This window comes from Homo sapiens, chromosome 4, assembly GCF_000001405.40.
Source record: "Homo sapiens chromosome 4, GRCh38.p14 Primary Assembly".
NCBI lineage: Eukaryota > Metazoa > Chordata > Mammalia > Primates > Hominidae > Homo > Homo sapiens.
In genome coordinates, this window is record NC_000004.12 from 39,907,077 (window position 1) to 39,928,676 (window position 21,600).

The 21,600-nt window shown below is 36.7% G+C and overlaps 1 protein-coding gene across 7 annotated transcripts in view; it reads right to left on the bottom strand.

The window, feature by feature from the left end:
- The window catches only part of PDS5A (PDS5 cohesin associated factor A), a 155,049-nt gene that overhangs the window by 84,214 nt on the left and 49,235 nt on the right, over positions 1-21,600 (bottom strand). For all 7 annotated transcript variants that reach the window (XR_001741185.2, XR_001741188.2, NM_001100399.2 and 4 more), the window contains 9 exons: positions 20,885-21,088; positions 19,699-19,785; positions 18,760-18,857; positions 15,546-15,672; positions 13,243-13,323; positions 9,972-10,112; positions 6,535-6,650; positions 3,168-3,262; positions 1,319-1,464 (listed from right to left, as the gene is read on the bottom strand). Coding sequence is in view for 5 of the 7 variants with exons in the window: in NM_001100399.2 (NP_001093869.1) it covers positions 1,319-1,464; positions 3,168-3,262; positions 6,535-6,650; positions 9,972-10,112; positions 13,243-13,323; positions 15,546-15,672; positions 18,760-18,857; positions 19,699-19,785; positions 20,885-21,088 (1,095 nt within the window). In the remaining 2 variants the exon portion in view is untranslated. The remainder of the gene's footprint in view (positions 1-1,318; positions 1,465-3,167; positions 3,263-6,534; positions 6,651-9,971; positions 10,113-13,242; positions 13,324-15,545; positions 15,673-18,759; positions 18,858-19,698; positions 19,786-20,884; positions 21,089-21,600) is intronic.

Sequence of the window (21,600 nt, forward strand, 5' to 3'; positions counted from 1 at the left end):
TTCAGTTAGGAAGATTCATTTATTCAACTTTCTGAAACTATGAAAAAACTGTAATAGTAGTGAAACTTTTTAAATGGGGGAAGGGAGGAATGCCAAATAACCACTAGGGAGAGAGTCATTTCATTTAAATTAAAGCCAAGGGAAAAAAATCTTCAAAGTTAAAATTACTAACACTGTTGAACAACTTAAAAGGTATCTGCCTTTTTTTAAACATCTGGCTCCTGTGACAATTTTAAAAGTAAAAACTTAAAGAATACCTCTTTCTATATTTTAAAACCCAAACCAATTACTATTCTACCCTGAAATTATAATACTCATTTGCAGACGAAAGTAATTTTCAACTACACCTCAAATAAAATAATAGCATGTTGCAAGGTAATCATGAAACATGCTAGAAATGTTAGGCCTAATCAGCCTGCCTTACACATCTGTTTCTTGTTTACACCTGACGCTATTCATTAGTTGTATTCTTAACACTACTTTTCCTTAACAATCCATGTTTTCTTTTCTTTTCTTTTTTTTTTTTTTGAGACAGAGTCTCGCTTTGTCACCCAGGCTGGAGTGCAGTGGTGCAATCTCGGCTCACTGCAAGCTCCGCCTCCCGGGTTCACGCCATTCTCCTGCCTCAGCCTCCCGAGTAGCTGGGCCTACAGGTGCCCGCCACCATGCTCAGCTAATTTTTTGTATTTTTAGTAGAGACGGGGTTTCACCGTGTTAGCCAGGATGGTCTCGATCTCCTGACCTCGTGATCCGCCCGCCTCGGCCTCCCAAAGTGCTGGGATTACAGGCGTGAGCCACCGCGCCCGGCAATCCATTTTTTCAACTGCATCAAATGGAGAAAATCACAGGAAAAATAACTAAACATATAACCATCATTATTGTCCTTAGCTTGGCACATCAATATGTAAACGTCACTTTCTTAGGAAGTAAAGTTCAATGAATGGCAGACCCAGCTAAGTTATTCAAGAAAGTCATATGTGAAAATGTTAACTATAAGAATAGACGATCAATCACTATTCTTTTGAAACTCATCATGTAAATAAAAAGGTAAAATTTTGATTAACTTAGTGGTTCTCTTATGAAGGTATGATAGAAAAGAAACCCATGCTTAAGATCTCAAAAGGTATAGAATCCATTGTATTTATTCATAAGGATAATTAAAAGATATGCAGGAAACATACAAATTAGGAGCTCTTTATCATTGTTATTAATTTGATTTTCACACAGAAAGACATTAAATGTAACAGAAAATGATACCCAATTGTATTTAGCAATTTAAACAGTAAATTACAGAAGAATAAAATGCCTCAGATTTTACCCGTTTATCCAGTGTTCTTTCCCTTACAAAGCCAAGCAGCTGATCATTTACTAAGGCCAGGTCCCTCTTGGCAGCTGTTATTATAGTAACAATGACATCATGACGAATAGCTTCTTCTGGATCATGTGATCTAACCTTTAAATATTCTGTAATAAGAGAAAAAAAACTTAGGCTAAATGTTAGCTATGTAATTTGTCATGATTTAGAATGGCAAGAACAGAAATATGTTAAGTTTTTGTCCATACTAAAGCAATGTTTGTAAAATATGGCATGAAATTAAATCATGTTATTTTTACAGCAGCAGTACTCTACTGTAATCACAAAACTGCACTTTAAACTCCCAAGTTGGCCAGGTGTGATGGCCCACAACTGTAATACCAGCACTTTGGGAGGCTGAGGCAGGCAGGCAGGTCGCACAAGCTCAAGAGTTCATACCAGCTTAGGCAACATGGCAAAACCCCGTCTCTACGAAAATTACCAAATAAAAAAACTCATTAGCCAGAAGTGTAGTGGCCCGCCCCTGCAGTGCCAGCTACTTGGGAGGCTAAGGAGGGAGGATAACTTGAGCCCAGAGGTCAAGGCTGCAGTGAGCCAATATCAAGCCACTGCACTCCAGCCTGGGTAACAGAGTGACGCCCTGTATCAAAAAATAAAATAAAATAAAATAAAATAAAATAAAATAAAATAAAATAAAATAAAATACTTCACAGTTACATCTTTTTTTTAATTTTTATTTTTTGTTGTTGAAACAACAACAAAAACAGCCTGTCACCCAGGCTGGAGTGTAATAGAGCAATCTCGGTGCACTGCAACCTCCGCCGCCCAGGTTCAAGCAATTTTCGTACCTCAGCCTCCGATTAGCTTAGATTACAGGCATCTGCCACCATGCCTGGCTAATTTTTGTATTTTTAGTAGAGATGGGGTTTCACCATGTTGGCCAGGCTAGTCTTGACCTCCTGGCCTCAAGTGATGCACTGCCTTGGCCTCCCAATGTGCAGGGGATTACACGCGTGAGCCACCATGCCCATAGTTACATTTTAATAATGTATTTTCATCAGTTATCCTGGAAAAGTCAACTCACAATGCAGTATCTGATCTATGTCAGCTTGAATTTCAGTTACTAATTAAAAAGCTTAAAAGAAAAACAGTGAAAATGCTTATGGCAATTTAGCTGACAGGTATATACTTGCAAATTACACAATATAAAATCCAGAATATTTTATAATCTGTTCAAAAAATTCTTAAATAATTTATAATACAAACTAAATCTAAACAAAAACATGTTGTTTCCCCTGTTCTTTTTGGTAAATAACAGCCTGCTGATAAAAACCACTTATGTGCTGCTACCAAAAAGGTAGATTTAAATGCTCTAGATTCAAAAGAATGAAAAATTCTAGTCTAGTGCAGAAGATAATCATGTTCCCACTTATTATTAAATGCCACTATATTTAATTAAATAGACATAATGATTTCTACCCAAATCCAATGTCTTAAGAAATACACTACTTCCTTAAATTATGATTTTCAAAAAATTTCAAAGGATTAAAATATGAAGATTTTAAGCTGGGCATTGTAGCACCCGCCTGTAATACTCGGGATCTCAAAGTGAGAGGTCACTTGAGCCCAGGAGTGAAAGCCTTTCTCTTAAAATAAACAAACAAACAAATAAAGAGATTTTAAATGTAATTTTATTACATGAACATGAAATCATTTCTTAGTGCACAACAAATGAAAACACGAGACCATACCAGAGTTAAAACCTACTTGGAAAGTGAAGTTAGGTCACAAGTCATATCTACAATATAGTTGTATGGTTATGCTAATATGTGTAATAAACCAGCTAGCTTACCTGTGAGATCCTTCGCTAAATCTGGGTGATTCATTAAACAATGACTGGCAAATTTCACACTTTCTAATCTCACAGGAACATGAATATCATTAAATCTACACAGAAAAAGATTGCTAAACATTAATTGTAAGGCAAAATAATCACTCTCAAATCAGGTATATCTAACATGAAAATACTTATACGCAACAATAGTTACTGATTAGAAAATTTGTTATGAGCTAAGGTATTCTGAAGGAAGAATATAAAGTACACTATAAGGTGAAAGGATACAATTTCACAAAAACATATTCACAAACAGAATTTCTTTACCATGCTAAAACTAACTAACAAAAAACAGTATAAACAAACACATCCTTCAACCCAAACTATACACTTTATGGAGTTAAAATCTGAGAGCTTAATATTATGCTACAAAGTAAAAAATATTCAAAACACACAAAATCAGTTTGAAGAATAAGTTTATAGGAGATTCCAGGCACGGTGGCTGACACCTGTAATCACTGCACTTTGGGAGGCGGAGACAGGTGGATTGCTTGTGGCCAGGAGTTTAAGACCAGCCTTGAACACATGGCAAAACCCTGTCTCTACAAAATATACAAAAATTAGGCAGGCATGGTAGCATGCCTCTGTAGTCCCAGCTATTACTCAGGAAGCTGAGGTGGGTGGATTGCTTGCACTCAGGAGTTCAAGATCAGCCTTGAAAACACAGCACAGCCCTGTCTCTACAAAAAAACACAAAAATCAGCCGGGCGTGGAGGCATTCCCCTGTAGTCCCAGCTACTTGGGAGGGTGAGGTGGAAGGACTGCTTGAGCCCAGGAGGTCGAGGCTGCAGTAAGCCATAATTGTGCCACTGCACTCCAACCTGGGTAACAGACCCTGTCTCAAAACAAAACAAGACGAAAGGTTTATATGAGACAAACACTGGGAAACTTGAGGTAGAGAGCAAACCATATATAAGGGGCAAATCCAGAAGTTCAAAGATGAGTGCAGAAAATGTGTTACTAGCTCAGGCATGGTGGTGGGTGCCTGTAATACCAGCTACTCAGGAGGCCGAGGCAGGAGAATTGCTTGAACCCGCCAGGCAGAGGTTGCAGTGAGCAGAGATCACGTCACTGCACTCCAGCCTGGGCGATGAAGTAAGACTCCGTCTCAAAAAAAAAAAAAAAATTTGTGTTGCACTGTCTCACCACTTAAGTTTCTTTTGGCCAGCACCAACTTGTATTACAGTGCTCTTTTAAAGGTCTAGTATACGTTAAGAATTCAATTAACATACAACACAATATGTAGACTCAAAAATGCACATGTTGGCCGGGCGCGGTGGCTCACACCTGCAATCTCAGCACTTTGGGAGGCCGAGGCGGGCAAATCACGAGGTCGGGAGATCAAGACCATCCTGGCTAACACGGTGAAACCCTGTCTCTACTAAAAATACAAAAAATTAGCCGGGCGCACTGGCGGGCGCCTGTAGTCCCAGCTGTTTGGGAGGCTGAGGCAGGAGAATGGCATGAACCCGGGAGGCGAAGCTTGCAGTGAGCAGAGATCGCGCCACTGCACTCCAGCCTGGGCGACAGAGTGAGACTCCGTCTCAATTAAAAAAAAAAAAAAAAAAAATGCACATGTTAAGGATAAGGTAAGGAACCCTCAAATTTAAAACAGATTATTAGGCAACTTTTAAAATATACTGATTAATGATAAATAATGTGATCTGAAATAGCTGGAAGTATTTTTATTTTTGAAATGATCTCATAAAAAAACCAAGTAAACAAAAATTGTTTAATAAACGTCTTAATGTCTATGGCCTCCCACTTTCTTACCCAGATAAAATTTTCATGTGTTAATAAAATACTGCATTTAGGATTTGTAATTCTCTGGCTGGCAGAGAAAAATTATACATTATTAATGATCAAGTAATTACAAAGTATCAAAACACTTAACGCTATAATTATGGAAAATAATACTGCAGACTGTGACTTGTTTCTATGAATCAGAGACACCACTACAGTTAGCAGTGAGTGTAAAATAATGAGTGTCAGAAACTTATATTGGGTGATTTCATTTTTAAAAGTAACCAAAGTGAAAAATGAAGCCTTGCGTTTTTGCTTAAATGATTTACAAAAAATATTTGATGTCCATCCTGGGATAGGGAATTCCTCCCCCATAACTTTGAAAGTGCAGTTGCTTCATTCCCACCATTCAAAATTCTCATGGAGTCACATTTAGTTATTCAACTATTTAGCATTTATTCCTATAAGACCTTCAAAATGGCGTGTTCTGGGCAAGTAACTGCTAAGATAGCAGTAGGCCTTGTCAGCGATTTCTCAGAACCTAGGATTAGTATGAGAACTATTATGGTGAATTTACATCAAGAAAAATTCTGGCACCAACTACTGAATCAGTTGAACTAAAACAACGGAGAATCTCGAACATCTCCAGAATATTAATAGTAAATATCTACTTTCCAATCAGCTTTTAAAGCAAAACAGGTAAATGGAATGCAAGGAGAAATTTAATGAATTTCATAAATTTGTCAACACTACTATCAAGCCAAATAGAATTTAGTCATTCTAAGCTCTTGAGAAGAAACATTAAAAACTATCTGAGTTAATGGCAATCATATTTTCCACTTAAAAATCATACAATTATACCAAATTAGTTAAAACACACCATACAATGTGTTCAGATAAGTTACAGACCCAAACGACAAGCACTAGTAAATGAAAAAGTTGGTAGGCTGACAAATGGCACAGGTTCTTAAATTTGGATCAGTATGTATTCAGTTTCATGATTTAAAGATCTTAAGACTTAGAATATACTGCAATGCTGTTTATTTATTCTAATGACTTTCTTTTTTTTTTTTTTTAGACAGAGTCTCACTCTGTCACTCCGGCTGGAATGCAGTGGCTTGAACTCAACTCAGTACAAACTCTGCCTCCCGGGTTCAAGGATTCTCCCGCCTCAGCCTCTTGCGTAGTTGCGGTTCCAGGTGCCGGTCACCACCCCTGGTTAATTTTTGTATTTTTAGTAGAGACACCATGTTGGTCAGGCTGGTCTCCTGAACTCCTGACCTCAAGTGATCCGCCCACCTCAGCCTCCCAAAGTGCTGGGATTACAGGCATGAGCCACCACGGCTGGCCATGACATTATTTTAACACAAAGAAGTTAAAAAGAGTTACACAGATAAAATACTAAGCTTTCTTCATAAAAAATTTTTCATACAATTTATTCCATAAGAAGGATGGAAACACAGATGACAATGAAACCAACATCTATTAATGAAAGTTTTGATATGTATAGTTTTAATCAAGTGGACTGCACCCTACTGACTATTTTCTAAAATATAAACATCAGAATTATATGTTCTCTTACCGTCCAAGAAAACATTGCCAAAGAGGACGATTCTGTGTTGCCAAATCAGAATCTTTGGAGCCAAACAATTTAGCTAGAAGTCGAACAACAGCTAATCGCTCTTCTCCATCATTGCTCTAAGAAGGGAAAACAGAAAGTGAAGCCTAAGCTTTATTCACCAGATTACAGAAAATATCTTGAAACATTCTCAAGAAGATACTATTTCATATTTCTGCTTATAACTGTGAGAAGTTTAAAATATCATATGTCCTCACTTACTATGCAGAAATTGATTTAATTTCATGTTAGATCATCTGGGTTTTTGCTCTTATTTCACACCCTCCCAACTGCTAATTTATGTCTACTTCACTGATTAATTGCATTCTATACATTGGTTATGGACACTGTACAAATATGAGACATACAATTCACTTCTAACATTAAGAACCCTATAAAAACATCTATGAAGGACAAAGTTACAGTTACCACCCTAATAAGCTTACTTTATAGGAAATCTGCAATTTACGTTCCAACATAAACACACATCAATTAAAGTTTTGATATACAAATTTGTTTTTTTTTTTTTTTTTTTGAGGAGTCTTGCACTGTTTTCCCAAGCTAGAGTGCAGTGGCACGATCTCAGCTCACTGCAACCTCTGCCTCCCGGGTTCAAGAGATTCTCCTGCCTCAGCCTCTCGAGTAGCTGGGATTACAGGCGCCCACCACCGCACCAGGCTAATTTTCACATTTTTAGTAGAGATGGGGTTTCACCATCTTGGCCAGGCTGGTCTCGAACTCCTGATCTCGTGACCCAACCACCTCGGCCTCCCAAAGTGCTGGGATTATGGGCATGAACCACCGCACCTGGCTGATACACAAAGTTTTAATGAAGGATCCCCTACGACTGGAGAATACGACACTACAGAATTTCATGATTCATGGAAACTCATTTTAATAGCAATGCAAGAATCAAAAGATGATCTGAAGGTCAGCTTAAATACTATAAAAAAGCAAAACTTCATTGTTTTCTAGTAAGATTATATTTTCTTATCCTGAAACAGTATATGCGATAAAAATTCTGTTCCAGTTTCAGTAGTGATGCCATGCTTTAATGTAAAATAAGTTATTCTAAAACCATATGGTGTGTGAAACTTTTCAAAAATCATATTCACTAGGAAAATAAACATAGTATCTAAAAGCAACTGCTAATTTTTTTTAGGTGTTCAAATATAATATGTGCCTAAAGCAATACCAGATATCCAATAAACAAAATAGTTTTGGAAAAGAGAAGTAAAAATAGAAAAATAAAGACCACAGGATAAAATCCTTTCCTTATGAATGTTTTAACGTTCAAGAACAGGGGTTTTGTGGGTAAAACAGGCACACTTAACCAATGTAAAAATGAAAATTACATCAAGTATTAACTATTTTAATTTTAAATGACAAAAATGATTTTTTTTTTTTAAGAGGTAAGAGTCTTGCTCTGTTGCCCAGGCTGGAGTGCAATGGCAGGATCATGGCTCACTGCAGCCTTGAACTCCTGGGCTCAAGTGATCCTCCCATCTTAGCCTCCTGAGTAGCTGGACATACAGGTGTGCATCACCACACCTGGCTAATTTTTTATTTTTCTATAGAGACAGAATCTTACCATGCTGACAAGGTTGGTCTTGAACTCCTGGCCTCAGGCAAGCCTCCTACCTCAGCCTCCCAAAATGCTGGGATTATATGGACATGAGGTACCACAACCGGCCTGATTTTTTTTTTTTTTTTTTTTTTTTGGGTGAGACAAGGTCTGGGTGTGGCTCTATCACCCAGGCTGGAGTACAGTGGAGCAACCTCGGTTCACTATAACCTCTGCCTTCCAGGCTCAAGCCATCCTCCCACCTCAGCCTCCTGAGTAGCTGGGACTACGGGTGTGTGGCAATATGCTTGGCTAATTTCTGTATTTTTTGTAGAGATGGGGTGTCACCATGTTGCCCAAGCTGGTCTCAAACTCCTGGGCTCAAGAGATCTGCCTGCCTCCACCTCCCAAAGTGCTGGGATTACAGGTATGAGCTACCGCACTTGGCCCAGCCTGATTTTCTTTGACAAAATTTTTCTCAAGCAAAATGACAATAATGCAGAGTAGCACAACCTTCTAATAAGTTCAATTTATTAGCCAATATGATTTACTTCTTAAAGAAAAAGTAATCTATCCCTTAAATATGAAACAATATATGGAAATTTTATTCTAATAGCAAGTAACTGTTTTAGTAAATCAGTGATTATTTCAAAAGAGGACATTTCACATCTATAAACTACAGAAGTAAAACTAACTGAAAACTCGCCCCTCTGCTATTTGTAAAAGTCAAAATATATTCCTTGACCAGGCTCAGTGGCTCATGCCTGTAATCTCAGTAATTTGAGGCCAAGGCAGGAGAATTGCATTAGGCCAGGAATTTGAGACCAGCCTGGGCAACATAGTGAGAACCCCTCTCAAACAAACAAACAAGCAAAAAATTGCCAGGCATGGTGAGGTATACCTGTAGTCCCAGCTCCTCAAGAGACTGAGACAAGAAAAGCCGGGCACTCCAGCCTGGGCGACAGAGCAAGACTCCGTCTCAAAAAAACAACAACAACAAAAAAAGAGACTGAGACAAGAGGATCACTTGAGCCCAAGAGTTCAAGGCAGTATTAAACTTTTACAAATAGCAGAGGGGCAAGAATTACGAATTACTTGCTCAGTTGTCTATAAAAAATAGATATACTATTTTTAGGACAGTCAAATTTCTGTCCTTAATCTGTACCATGAAAAGGTCATAAAATTGTAAGCAATACCATATGAGGATTACATTTAAAATATTTTGATGTTCTAAAACATATCTATCTAATAATGGATACCATTTAATACCAACATGTATTATAAATCTCTAAGATAATACCATTTTTCCTATCTATTGCTTGTGTCACTGTGATTATCAGTAGATATTTAACAATTAAAAGTATTATAATTTTGTGGCCAGGCGTGGTGGCTCACGCTTGTAATCCCAGCACTTTGGGCAGCCGAGGTGGGCAGATCACAAGGTCAAGAGATTGAGACCAGCCTGGCCAACATGGAGAATCCCCATCTCTACTAAAAATAGAAAAATTATATGGGCATGGTGGTTTGCACCTGTAGTCCCAGCTACTCGGGAGGCTGAGGCAGAAGAATCGCTTGAACCTGGGGGGCAAAGGTTGCAGTGAGCCGAGACTGCGCCATTGCACTCCAGCCTGAGCAATAACAGCAAAACTCCGTCTCAAAAAAAGAAAAAAAAAGATAAATTGAAGTCACACTTTATTCTTCTACAGTTACAGAAAAATTATGCGGTATACATTTTTCCTGGAAAGTTTAAAGGGCATGAAAATTGGTCAATTTTACATTGTGCCTGCTCTAGAAACAAAAAAATTAAAAAAAAAAAAAGAAAACTGGTCAATCTTACCTTTAGTTTGAATTCAAGCTGTGGCATGACGGATAATAATAAATGAGGATCTATAGCAAAAAGTTCCTGAATCAGATCAAATACATGTTCTGACAAATCACTTACTGATGATCTTCCCAGCACCAGGACTTGATTGAAAAACTGTAAGAGATATTAAAAACAAAAAGAAAACATCCAGTTCATTTAAAAACATGGATACATTTTTAATAAACATTTTTTATAAATAATTTAATTAGGTATTACATATACAATTGAAGGAGGTGATACAAACAGGTGTGTGATTACTAATATATAATAGGACAGTCATCTAAACAGCAGAAGAAATAATTTCCTAATAATATCAAATCATGAATGTTACAAGGAGAAAAGCAAAAAAAAATTGGTTTGTTGGGTGTATTTCAAATAAGGACATTTCTAGGAATCTTTGTTTTCATTAAAACAATTTAGACAGTCTGTGTAGTTCATTACAAAGGATTTTAGAAAAATTTCCTTGTAGCAGAGAAAAATTACAAAGTCTCAATCTTTGATTTTTTTTTTCTTTTTATGAGATGGAGTCTGGCTCTGTCACCCAGGCTAGAGTACAGTGGCGTGATCTCGGCTTACTGCAACTTCCACCTCCGAGGTTCAAGCAATTCTCCTGCCTCAATCTCTCGAGTAGCTGGGATTACAGGAACCCGCCACCATGCCCAGCTAATTTTTGTATTTTTAGCAGAGACAAGGTTTCACCGTGTTGGCCAGGCTGGTCTCGAACTCCGTACCTCAGGTGATCTACAGGCCTCGGCCTCCCAAAGTACTGGGATTACAGGCGTGACCCATTGCGCCTGGCCTCAACCTTTGATTTTTAAAAAAATCAAAGGCACAGCAGCACACGCCTGTAATCCCAGCACTTTGGGAAGCCGAGGCACGACAATCTTGAGCCCAGGAGTTGGAGACCAGCCTGGGCAACACAGTGAGACCCTTGCCTCTACAAAAAATAAAAAAATTATCTGGGTGTGGTAGTGCATGCCTATAGCCCCAGCTACTCAGGAGGCCACGGCAGGGGGATCATTTAAGCCCCAGGAAGTCGAGGTTGCAGTGAGTTGTGATCACACCATTGCACTCCTCCTGCATGGGAGACAGAACAAGACCCTGTCTCAAAAAAAAAAAAAAAAAAACAGAATAATTTTTCCATGAGTTTAGTAATAAAGAGTATTTAAAGCTGAAGGATTTTTTTTTGTTGTTGGGTTGTTTCTTTTAATACTCAGAGAAAGTCAAATATGTTTTGACTCGCATGACAAAAAGAACAAAAAGTTGGTAATACAAAAGCTGATTTTTTTTTTAAATGCTAGACAGAAATAAAGAGTATACAAGGCCAAGAGCGCAAATTAAAAGATACCAGCACTGCACACCACCGTCACACATGCAGAAGAATTAAATTTTTAAAATGCCTCAGGGGCAATTGTATGCAACTGATACAAGCATACACTTCTGGTAGTATCATAAGTTGAAAAGCAGCATGAATTAAGTTAGAAAATATTCATTATTGGCCAGGTGTGGTGGCTCACACCTGTAATCGCAGTACTTTGGGAGTCTGGGGCAGGCGGATTACCTGAGGTCAGGAGTTCAAGACCAGCCTGGCCAACATGGTGAAACTCCATCTCTACTAAAAATATAAAAATTAGCAGGGCGTGGTGGCACACATCTGCAGTACAGCCACTAAGGAGGCTGGAGCAGGAGAATCGCTTGAGCCTGGGAGGCGGAGGTTGCAGTGAGCTGAAATCGCACCACTACACTCCAGCCTGGGCAACAGGGCGAGACTCCATCTCTAATCATTCCCACTGGATAAGAGTAATATCAAAAAATTCATATTTACTATGCAGACATTGAAAATAATGAAGAAGATAGTTTTATCAAAATATATGCATACACACACACAAAAAAGCACAGAATACTACTTCTGAAAGGATATAAGAAAACCTAATGGGGATGGTTATTTCTGAGAATTAAGAAATGTATTCAAGGCTGAAGACAGACACTTCTTTACTACTATTATTGTTTAATCTGTTTAAATATTAATTTAGTAATCCAAGTAATACTAATAGGATAACATTTAAATTAAAAGCCTCATTTGGATTTTTATCCATGGAAAATAATTCAACAATATATAAATGTTAGATTCACAAAGATGATTAGGAAAGGAAAGAAACACTGAAAAGACCTAGATCTATGACAATAAGGAAATACGTATCAAGAAACATTTACAGTCATTCTTATATATTTAAAAAGAATGTCAAAATACGTAAATACAAATATGACGATAAAAATTTTACATAAAATAGCCGGGTGCGGTGGCTCACGCCTGTAATCCCAGCACTTTGGGAGGCTGAGGCAGGCAGATCACGAGGTCAGGAGATCAAGACCACCCTGGCTAACACGGTGAAACCCTGTCTCTACTAAAAATACAAAAAATTAGCCAAGTGTGGTGGCGGGTGCCTGTAGTCCCAGCTACTCAGGAGGCTGAGGCAGCAGAATGGCGTCAACCCGGGAGGCGGAGCTTGCAATGAGCCGAGAATGCACCACTGCACTCCAGCTTCAGAGACAGAGTGAGACTCCGTCTCAAAAAAAATTTTTTTTTCATAAAGTATGTGGGAAAATAGTTATAAATATGAGCAAATGAACAATGGAATTAGTTGCTATAAGGTAGTGAGATTGCAAACTTTTTTTTCCAAATTATTGATTTTTTTAGGAAAAACAAACCCAGAACAAATTCCTCAGTAAACCTTTTTTTAACTATTACTATGTAGCAACTATCACAATCTTTCATTACTGAAAAGTATTTAAATCTTTGCCAAAAACAACAGGCAAAACAACCAAACCATTTTCTAAATAAATCTCTGTAATCTTAAAAAAATAAAATAAAAAAAAAAGGAAGAAACATTACAGGACTTCAGAAGAATGACCCAAAAGAAACAAAGAAAAAAATATATAGAGAGAGACACAGAGACCCAAGGAAAATATGAAAGAGATCAGCATATCTGGGAGACAATGAAATAAACATAAATACAAATGCAGATAAGGGGATGGGAGTTGCAGACGACTTTTCTTATAGTAATATCCACCCTTTAAAAACGTCATGAAACTTATGCTGCATTTCTCTAACCCTGGTCACATCTGGACATAAGTTATTTTATATTTATAAGCTAAATAAACTTTTATGTAAGAGGTTCTAATAAATTAATACAATGGATTAAGAATTACAAAATATAGAATAAACATAGAAAGAAATACATACATTAGCAATGCATGCCTCAATAGTCTGGACTGTTCTTTTCAATAGCACTTTTGCAAGGTCAAAGGACTGTTTATTTAAGTTCTGAAAAATAATAAAAACATGGAAAGTTACAAATAAATGTTAATTTATGAGATAGTAACATTAGAATACTGTAGTCTTCAAATCTGTAATAAAATATGAATTTTGCTTCACTAAAATATGAAGCAAAAATAAAAATAACTGAGTTCTCTTCAAGGTTTTGCCAAATATCCTCTAGTCAAGTGATCTTAAATGCAGACGTTGCAAATCGAACTAATTTATTAATCAAAAACTAAAATGGGTTAGTTAGCAAAAGCACAACACTATATTGTTTTATTAAACTCAAAACAGACCTAATGCTTTTTGGTTTTATCTGTTAACCAATGTAAACTGACAACTACACCCACGTATCTTAAACACATACACTCCCTGATCTAACACAACATGCTCAATTATTTCATTGTTTAATCAATGCGTGCTCTGGAGAAGAGTAGACCTGGTAAGCGTTTCAAATAAAAAGCGTTCTTGATCAATTGTATTTTTGAAATGCTTAATACTATGCTCCCGTTTCAAGAGTCCCAATGTACTCAAATAAATTAAAGGATCTGAGAAGGACCTTAGAAAATATATTATTTAATTTTTTTTAAATGCCTGAAAAGGGAATTCTTGTTTTGAATAATACCTATTAACATTGCTATATCTTGAAGTTTTGGATCAAACAGATTCATTCACCATCATCTAACACCTCTTCCAAAACAAGGCTAGGAAACCCTACACTCTAGGCCAGGGGTCAGCAAACTTTTTCTATGAAGGGCCACATGGTAAATATTTTAGGTTTTGTGGGTCATACAAATCACTGCAACAACTACACAACTCTGCTGTTGTAGCATGAAAGCAGATATAAACAAAACGAAAACGAATGAACATGGCTGTGTTCCAATAAAATCTTACTTACATAAATAAGCAATAGTCCAAATCTGATCAACAAGCCATAGCTTCTTGACCCCTGCTCTATACTTTTATTTCATTGGCAAAGGATAAGATTTGCTTAAAATTAAGTTAACATTTCTATTTCTTAAAAGAAGTCTATTTCCTACTACTAATAAAAATGCTCTCAAGCCAGATGTGGTTGCTCATGCCTGTAATCTCAGCACTTCGGGAGGCTAAAACGGGCAGATCGCTTGAGCCCAGGAGTTTGAGATAAGCCTGGGCAACATAGCGAAACCCTGTTTCTACAAAGAAAACTTAAAAAAAAAAAAAAAAAAAAAAGCCAGGTATGGTGGCACATGCCTGTATTGCCAGCTACTTGGGAGGCTGAGGTAGGAGGATCACTTGAGCCCAGGAGACAGAGGCGGCAATGAGCCAAGATAGTGCCGCTGCACTCCAGCCTAGGTGACAGAGTGAGACCCTGTCCCAAAAAAATACCACCAACCTACTTACCTAGTATATAAAAACCAAATATACTGTCTTAATCTGCCAAAATATACTCTCCTTTGCCATAGTCTCAGAATTTTTATAAACTACAGAATTTTGTAAACTACATTTGAATTAATAAAATGTAAATAATATTTAAACTCGAGAAGAATTTAAAATTAATTATATCTTTCTGTGAATGAGTATAATTGGACAGATTTTTCCTCTAATGTCTGATAACAGGATACTGAACCACTAGAAGAAAAGAGCAGGAGAGCAAATATCAACATTGGGGTAGGCCTGAGTAGAGCCCAGTGGTGGAGCCTGAGGGCAGCCAAGTCCTTCAGATTCTTAGGAGGATCTGGTGGAGATAAATAGAAAAAGGAAACAGGGAAGAATGATACACCTTTGAATCATCCTTTTCTTCTTAACATTAACCATATAGCTTCTGCCCAAATCTTTTTCTGAGAGTACCTAAGAAAAAGGTACGATACGGATTCTGAAAAGAAATCCAAACTCCTATGTTTCACATCTATGTTAAAAAGGAGGAAATACATTTCTTTTCCAAACAAAGTTAACCAAAAGGCAACACCCCTAACCCCTTACAATTCTCAGATTATTTGTGTGAATACAAAACATTTTCAGTTTCCAGAAAACAGCACTTAAATGAATGAAACTCCTACATGATATGTTAATCAATATATTTTGTAAAAATAATAGCCACAAGACTAATGCATGTTATTTTATTTGAGGTGGAGAACGGTCATGAGAACAATTACATGGGATTGCAAATGGCCATAAAACAACTGTTCATTCTTATGTGTGGCGTGACTGTTAAACATTAACCTTGAATATCTTCATACTTTACAGACCTTATGTGCAGGAATGAGGTTAATAAGAATGGAGTCCAATAATTCTTGAGTAACTCCATCACCTTCCATGATGATAGAACTCATCAAATCTAGCATGTGCATTTGTACCTTCTTATTGTGGCTATTGCTATAAAAAAAAAAAAAAAAGAATAAGTAGTAGGAGGAGGAAAAGAAGAGAATTCAAGCTTCTAATAGGAAATTAAACGTCCTAGTTTAAAACAACAATCTCACATGTAAAGGATTTTCACTTGAGGGACAGTGCCAATAATGGCAGAGAAATTTTGGCTGCTCTATTTTCTTTCTCCTTTTGTTGACTATTACAACAGTTGTAAGGTACTGTTGTATTTTATAAAAACAAAGACAAACCTAATTTCTAATAAACTACATTTTCTTCCATTCACTTTTTTTTAAAAAGAAAAGAAAAAGGCCGGGCACAGTGGCTCGGACCTGTAATCCCAGCACTTTGGGAGGCTGAGGCAGGTGGATCACCTGACATCAGGAGTTCAAGACCAGCCTGGCCAACATGGTGAAACCCCGTCTTTACAAAAATACAAAAATTAGTGAAGCGTGGTGGCGGGCACCTGGAATTCCAGTTTCTGGGGAGGCTAAGGCGGAAGAATCACTTGAAACTGGGAGGCGGAGTTTGCAGTGAGCAGAGATCATGCCACTGCACTCCGGCCTGGGCAACAGAGTGAGACTTTGTATCAATTAAAAAAAAAAAAAAAGAAAAAAAAAAGGAAAAGGAAAAAAAGACCTTTTAAAATAAATTAAGTCTTTACACAACTAGGATTCCAAAAGTAAATTAAATTCTGCCTTAAAAAATGTCAATTTTAGCCTGGGCAACATGGCAAAACCCTGTCTCTACAAAAAAATTAAAAATTGGCCAGCTGAGTAGCCCCAGCTACTCAGAAGGCTGACATGGGAGGATCACTGGAGCCCAGGAGGTCGAGGCATCAGCAAGCCATGATCGTGCCACTGCACTCCAGCCTGGGGGACAGACCAAGACCCTGTCTCAAAACACACACACACACACACACACACACACACACACGCATCCACTTCAAGGAAAGAACACTTCTGCTTACATGCCCCAGATTTTTAAAGGTGATAAAATTTTAAGGAAACAAACAAAAAAGTATACAATAATAAAGGCAGACATTTTTTTCAACTCCCACACCTTAAGTCTTAATAAATTCCTCAAACTAAGATAAAAACCTATTTAAACACCCCCAAATGCATAAGCCAACATAAGCAATTATTGCTGTATCCTTGCCACTAGAAGTTTTAACTCACCAATACTGAAAATCAAAAGTTTCATCTAAAATGCTTTCAATAACTAGAAGGCTTTTCTGAAAATGTCATCCTAGTACCTCCTAAAGAATTTCAAACAGACAAATGAAAAATCAATAAAGCATAAAATATAAGGCCAAGAATCACTTTCAAGTGCTTCCACAATGAGGCCTGCCCTTTCTTGCTACTTTTGAACCCAGTCAGCATACGAACAGGCCTGGGCTGTCCTCCTGAATGGATGAGACATGTGACCCAGTTCTATCACTTCAGCCCACCTCAGCTTACGGCCAGATATTGACCAGATATCCTGCCAACTGACTACAAACACAGGTGCAAATCCAACCCAAATAAAATCAACTGCCAAGCAGAATCATGAGCTAAATAAAATGGTGGCTGTCTTAAACTATCAAGTTTTAGGTTACTTTGTAATGCAGCAAAAGCTAACAAACACAAAGGTTTATATGTTCTATCATTTACTTTAAGGGCTTACTGCTAGTCAAATGCCACAGAAGTTTCTTCTCATGCTATCTTTCTACAAGCTTCTATCCTATGCCAAGCTGGAGTGATCCTTTCCTGTTTGTTTCAGGATAATGTCTAATCCTACCATTCCATCTAAGGAAAAAGAAAATATGATATAGCATTCATTAAAACTCTGGAAATGTGCTGTTCAATATGCAAGCCATTTGCCACATATGGCTGGTGAACATGTGAAACATGAGGAGGGCCACATGTTGGAATGAAAATACTTTTGGATACAGTGGAATAAATAACATATATTATCAATATGAATTTCACTTGTTTTTACTTTTCTATTAATGTGACTACTAGAAAACTTATGTGAGGTATGTTTGCATATAATGTAATGCTCTAGAACACTTCTCATAACAGTGCTTAATTTACTATACAAAAAACAAACCAGGCTGGGTGTGGTAGCTCACACCTGTAAACCCAGCACTTTGGGAGGCCGAGGTGGGTGGATCACTTGAGGTCAAAAGTTTTAGACCAGCCTGGCCAACATGGCAAAACTCTATCTCTACTAAAAATACAAAAATTAGCCGGGTGTGGTGGCACACACCTGTAGTCCCAGCTACTCAGGAGGCTGAGACAGGAGGACTGCTTGAACCCGGGAGGTGGAAGTTGCAGTGAGCCAAGATGGCACCACTGCACTCCAGTATGGGTGACAGAGCAAGACACTGTCTCAAAAAAAACAAAACAAAACAACCCACACAGAATAAAACAATAACAACAAAACCCACACACAAAAAAAACCAAACCAAAACAAAACAAAAAACCCACAAACCAAAAAACATGGGCTAAAATCAGAATTTGAGCCTCCTGTCCAGCAACTGGTCCTTGGGCAAGCCACTACACTTCCTGACTCTGGATTAGTTTCCCTATTTCTATAAAGAGAAGGCCAATTTAGGCAATGTTTAAGATTTTTTTCTAGGTCTAGAATAAGAAGTTGTCAAAGTTAGTGAGCTTAAAGACTGAGCTATTACGTCTCCCAGAACTAATGGTACATACAATATGCATAATTTCTACCTCATAATTTAATACTTCATTGTATTAACGTAAGGTTTCAGACGATTTGCTTTACAACCATATGTGGTTGCCTCTATTAGATAGTAAGTCCCTTCAAAACAAGAGCACCACTTTATACTTCTCTACTGGTCCATGGCCTCCAGGACAGCCTGGGCGACTGAAGAGCCAACCAGTAAATTGGTACCATAATTTAAAATTCGTAGTATAAGGTCAAAGGCAGTGTTCGGACAACAGAATTTTTACTTTCCCCTTTATGTTAAGTTTTCTAAGGAAAACAATTCCTTATAACTCTGAAATATCTTAGTGTACATGTAGAGTATACAACATCTGAATACATAATCAAGAAAAAGAGACAAACAGAAATGCTTAAAAAATAACTTACTTGATCACTGAGAAGAGAGTTCTAAAAAGCTGAATAAAAATTTCATTGCAATCTTCCAATTCAAAGCAGATGTTATATGATTTAACCCAAGCTAAATTCTTAAATAAATAAAAATAATTATTGAATTATACATATATACAGAATAGTTATATAATAAAAAACTCAGTAAAAAATTAATTTTTAGAGTTAGAAACATATTAAAGTCTATAAAGACTCAACATATAAAATTTTAAGTGTTAATCACATATTCTGACCTTGAAAAAGATATATACCTGATGGCATCAATTTTCTCAAACTGAAAAATACTCAATATTTTTAAGTTGGTAGATATATTTCCATACAAAATTTAAGAAGCAGTAAAAATCTGTTTTTAGAATAGAAAAAAATAAAAATAAAAAGATAGAGGCCGGGCCCGGTGGCTCACGCCTGTAATCCCAGCACTTTGGGAGGCCAAGGTGGGCGGATCACCTGAGGTCAGGAGTTTGAGACCAGCCTCAACATGGAGAAACCCCGTCTCTACTAAAAATACAAAATTAGCCGTGCGTGGTGGTGTATGCCTGTAATCTCAGCTACTCGGGAGGCTGAGGCAGAAGAATTGCTTGAACCTGGGAGGCGGAGGTTGTGGTGAGCTGAGATCACGCCATTGCACTCCAGTCTTGGCAACAAGAGTGAAACTACGTCTCAAAAAAAAAAAAAGAAAGAAATAGATACAAACAAAAGATATAGTTTCAAATAATCTACAGTTTTTCCATCAGAATATACTTTATCTCTTCAGGATAGGAAGAAAAATAAAATAATATTTTCCTTATGAAATGTAAAAGACATTTTATTATAGGCTTTGAATAAAATAAACACTCATTTTACATTACAAAGTTAACATGAAGAATTTGCTATCATGTGAAATAATGTTAATAGTTATTAAAGTTTTTTTTTTTTTACCTCTAATAAATAAAAGTATCTATTAAACTGTGGACTCTTTGTATCCTCCAAACCTTTTAATTGTCTGGTAATAAACAAAAATATGTCCTGTTAAAAAAAAAAACACATTAATTTAGACACAAATACTTTTCTTTCACAACACACTAATAGTATGTAACTTTATTATTTGTGTACAAACTACAATAAAAGAAAATTCTCCTTTAGATGAATGTCTTGGGATTGGCCTAATCCATTATTCAAAATGATTCAAAAGATCCAATCAAATAAAATTATACTCTTTAGAAGCAAAAATAAACTATAAATCTTTAGGCTTTCTCTTTCAGAGCGGACCACAGGCTCTATATCTCATTATAATTTCTTCTACTATCGTGCTTTCACTTTACTCACTATCTCCACCTTGCATCGGGGCAAAAACTATCTTCATTTTAAGGAGTTGGATATGAGTATTTCCATTACTATTACCTACAAGTAAATAGTAATTTTTAGCCAATGTTTTGAAGTTGATGTATGATTACGAAGTTGTGTGTGAAAAAAGGCAACAGACTAGTCCAATGGTTCTATGATTCATGATGGTAGTCTTTCATTTCTTAATAAGCTTTCTTTAGAAATTTTAACTCACAGTAGTATCAATATAATACAAAATGATTTTAGGACTATTTTTAAAGAAAGCAGTCTACAGGATTAAAATTTGCCAAGAATGAAATTATTCAAAATACAAAATCTCCCCAAGAGATCAATGTTAAGAGTTCCACAAACACTTGAACAAAGGCAGAACAACCAAGATGAGCATATAGTTTTGCATGCTGAATAACTTATAGGGGAAAATAGTCATATGAATATGTAAATTCTGGTATGCTATTATTTTAAAAAGTATCATTAATCTGCTATTTATCCCTGGAACATAGCTATCTGGGCTTTTGTGATGAATTAGCCAGAAAATTGGATTTGAGCATACAGGGACTAGTTTTGAACTATACCTTTCTATGCTTCAAATCAAACAACCAAGCAACCCAGTCATTTGTGGAAATACTAACTGAATGAATAATTTTGCAACTTACAATATATTCTTAAGATGAAGAGACTAATATGAAACCTATGTTCATAAAGGTAAAATATAAAAATAAAAGTATACCTTCTGAACAGTGGTGAATGAAAAATACAATAAAGTGAAAAAGGCTGTATTTACCTTAAGTTTATCATGGGAAGTATATGGAGCTTCTGGGGCATAGATACGAAAGATATCAGCCAAACAACATGCTACAAGGAGACGCACATCTTTATTGGGGTTCCTGAGGAAGAATTCAGATGCAAGATGCAAGGCTAGTGGGAGATACTGCTGTTTTTCATCTTCTGAGTCCTGATCCATATCCATAAAGGTTTTCACTACCATCTGTAAAAATGTACAAAAACACAAAATAATTAACTCCTGGAATTTAGAAATCAGTGGAGGATGTGATTTAAAAAAAAAAAAGTCATCTCCATTAGCAATCGGTGGCCACCAGACAGTTCACAGTCAACTTTTTATAAATCTTCATTTAAGAATTTCAGAAAAGATCACAAGCATGAAACGGCTAGTCTAAAAAACCCATAAACAAGTATCACCTTCTCAGGCACATTGTCTGCACTAGTACCTCATTTATGAGGAACTTAAGCCTCTTATTATTCATTTTAAATCTAGCCCAGATAGTTCCTGGCCCCATATGGACAATAACATTCATTTGATATTTGGCAACATCATTAACTATGCTTCTTTTATATTTTATTATTAAAGGAGCCTTCTTCAGGCTCCTTAAAATTGCTATTTCATTTCATGCTTTAATGAGTTTTACACTTCATAATAAAAAGTCATTTTCCATGCTGGACAACATGGCAAGACCCTGTCTCTACAAAAAATACAAAAAC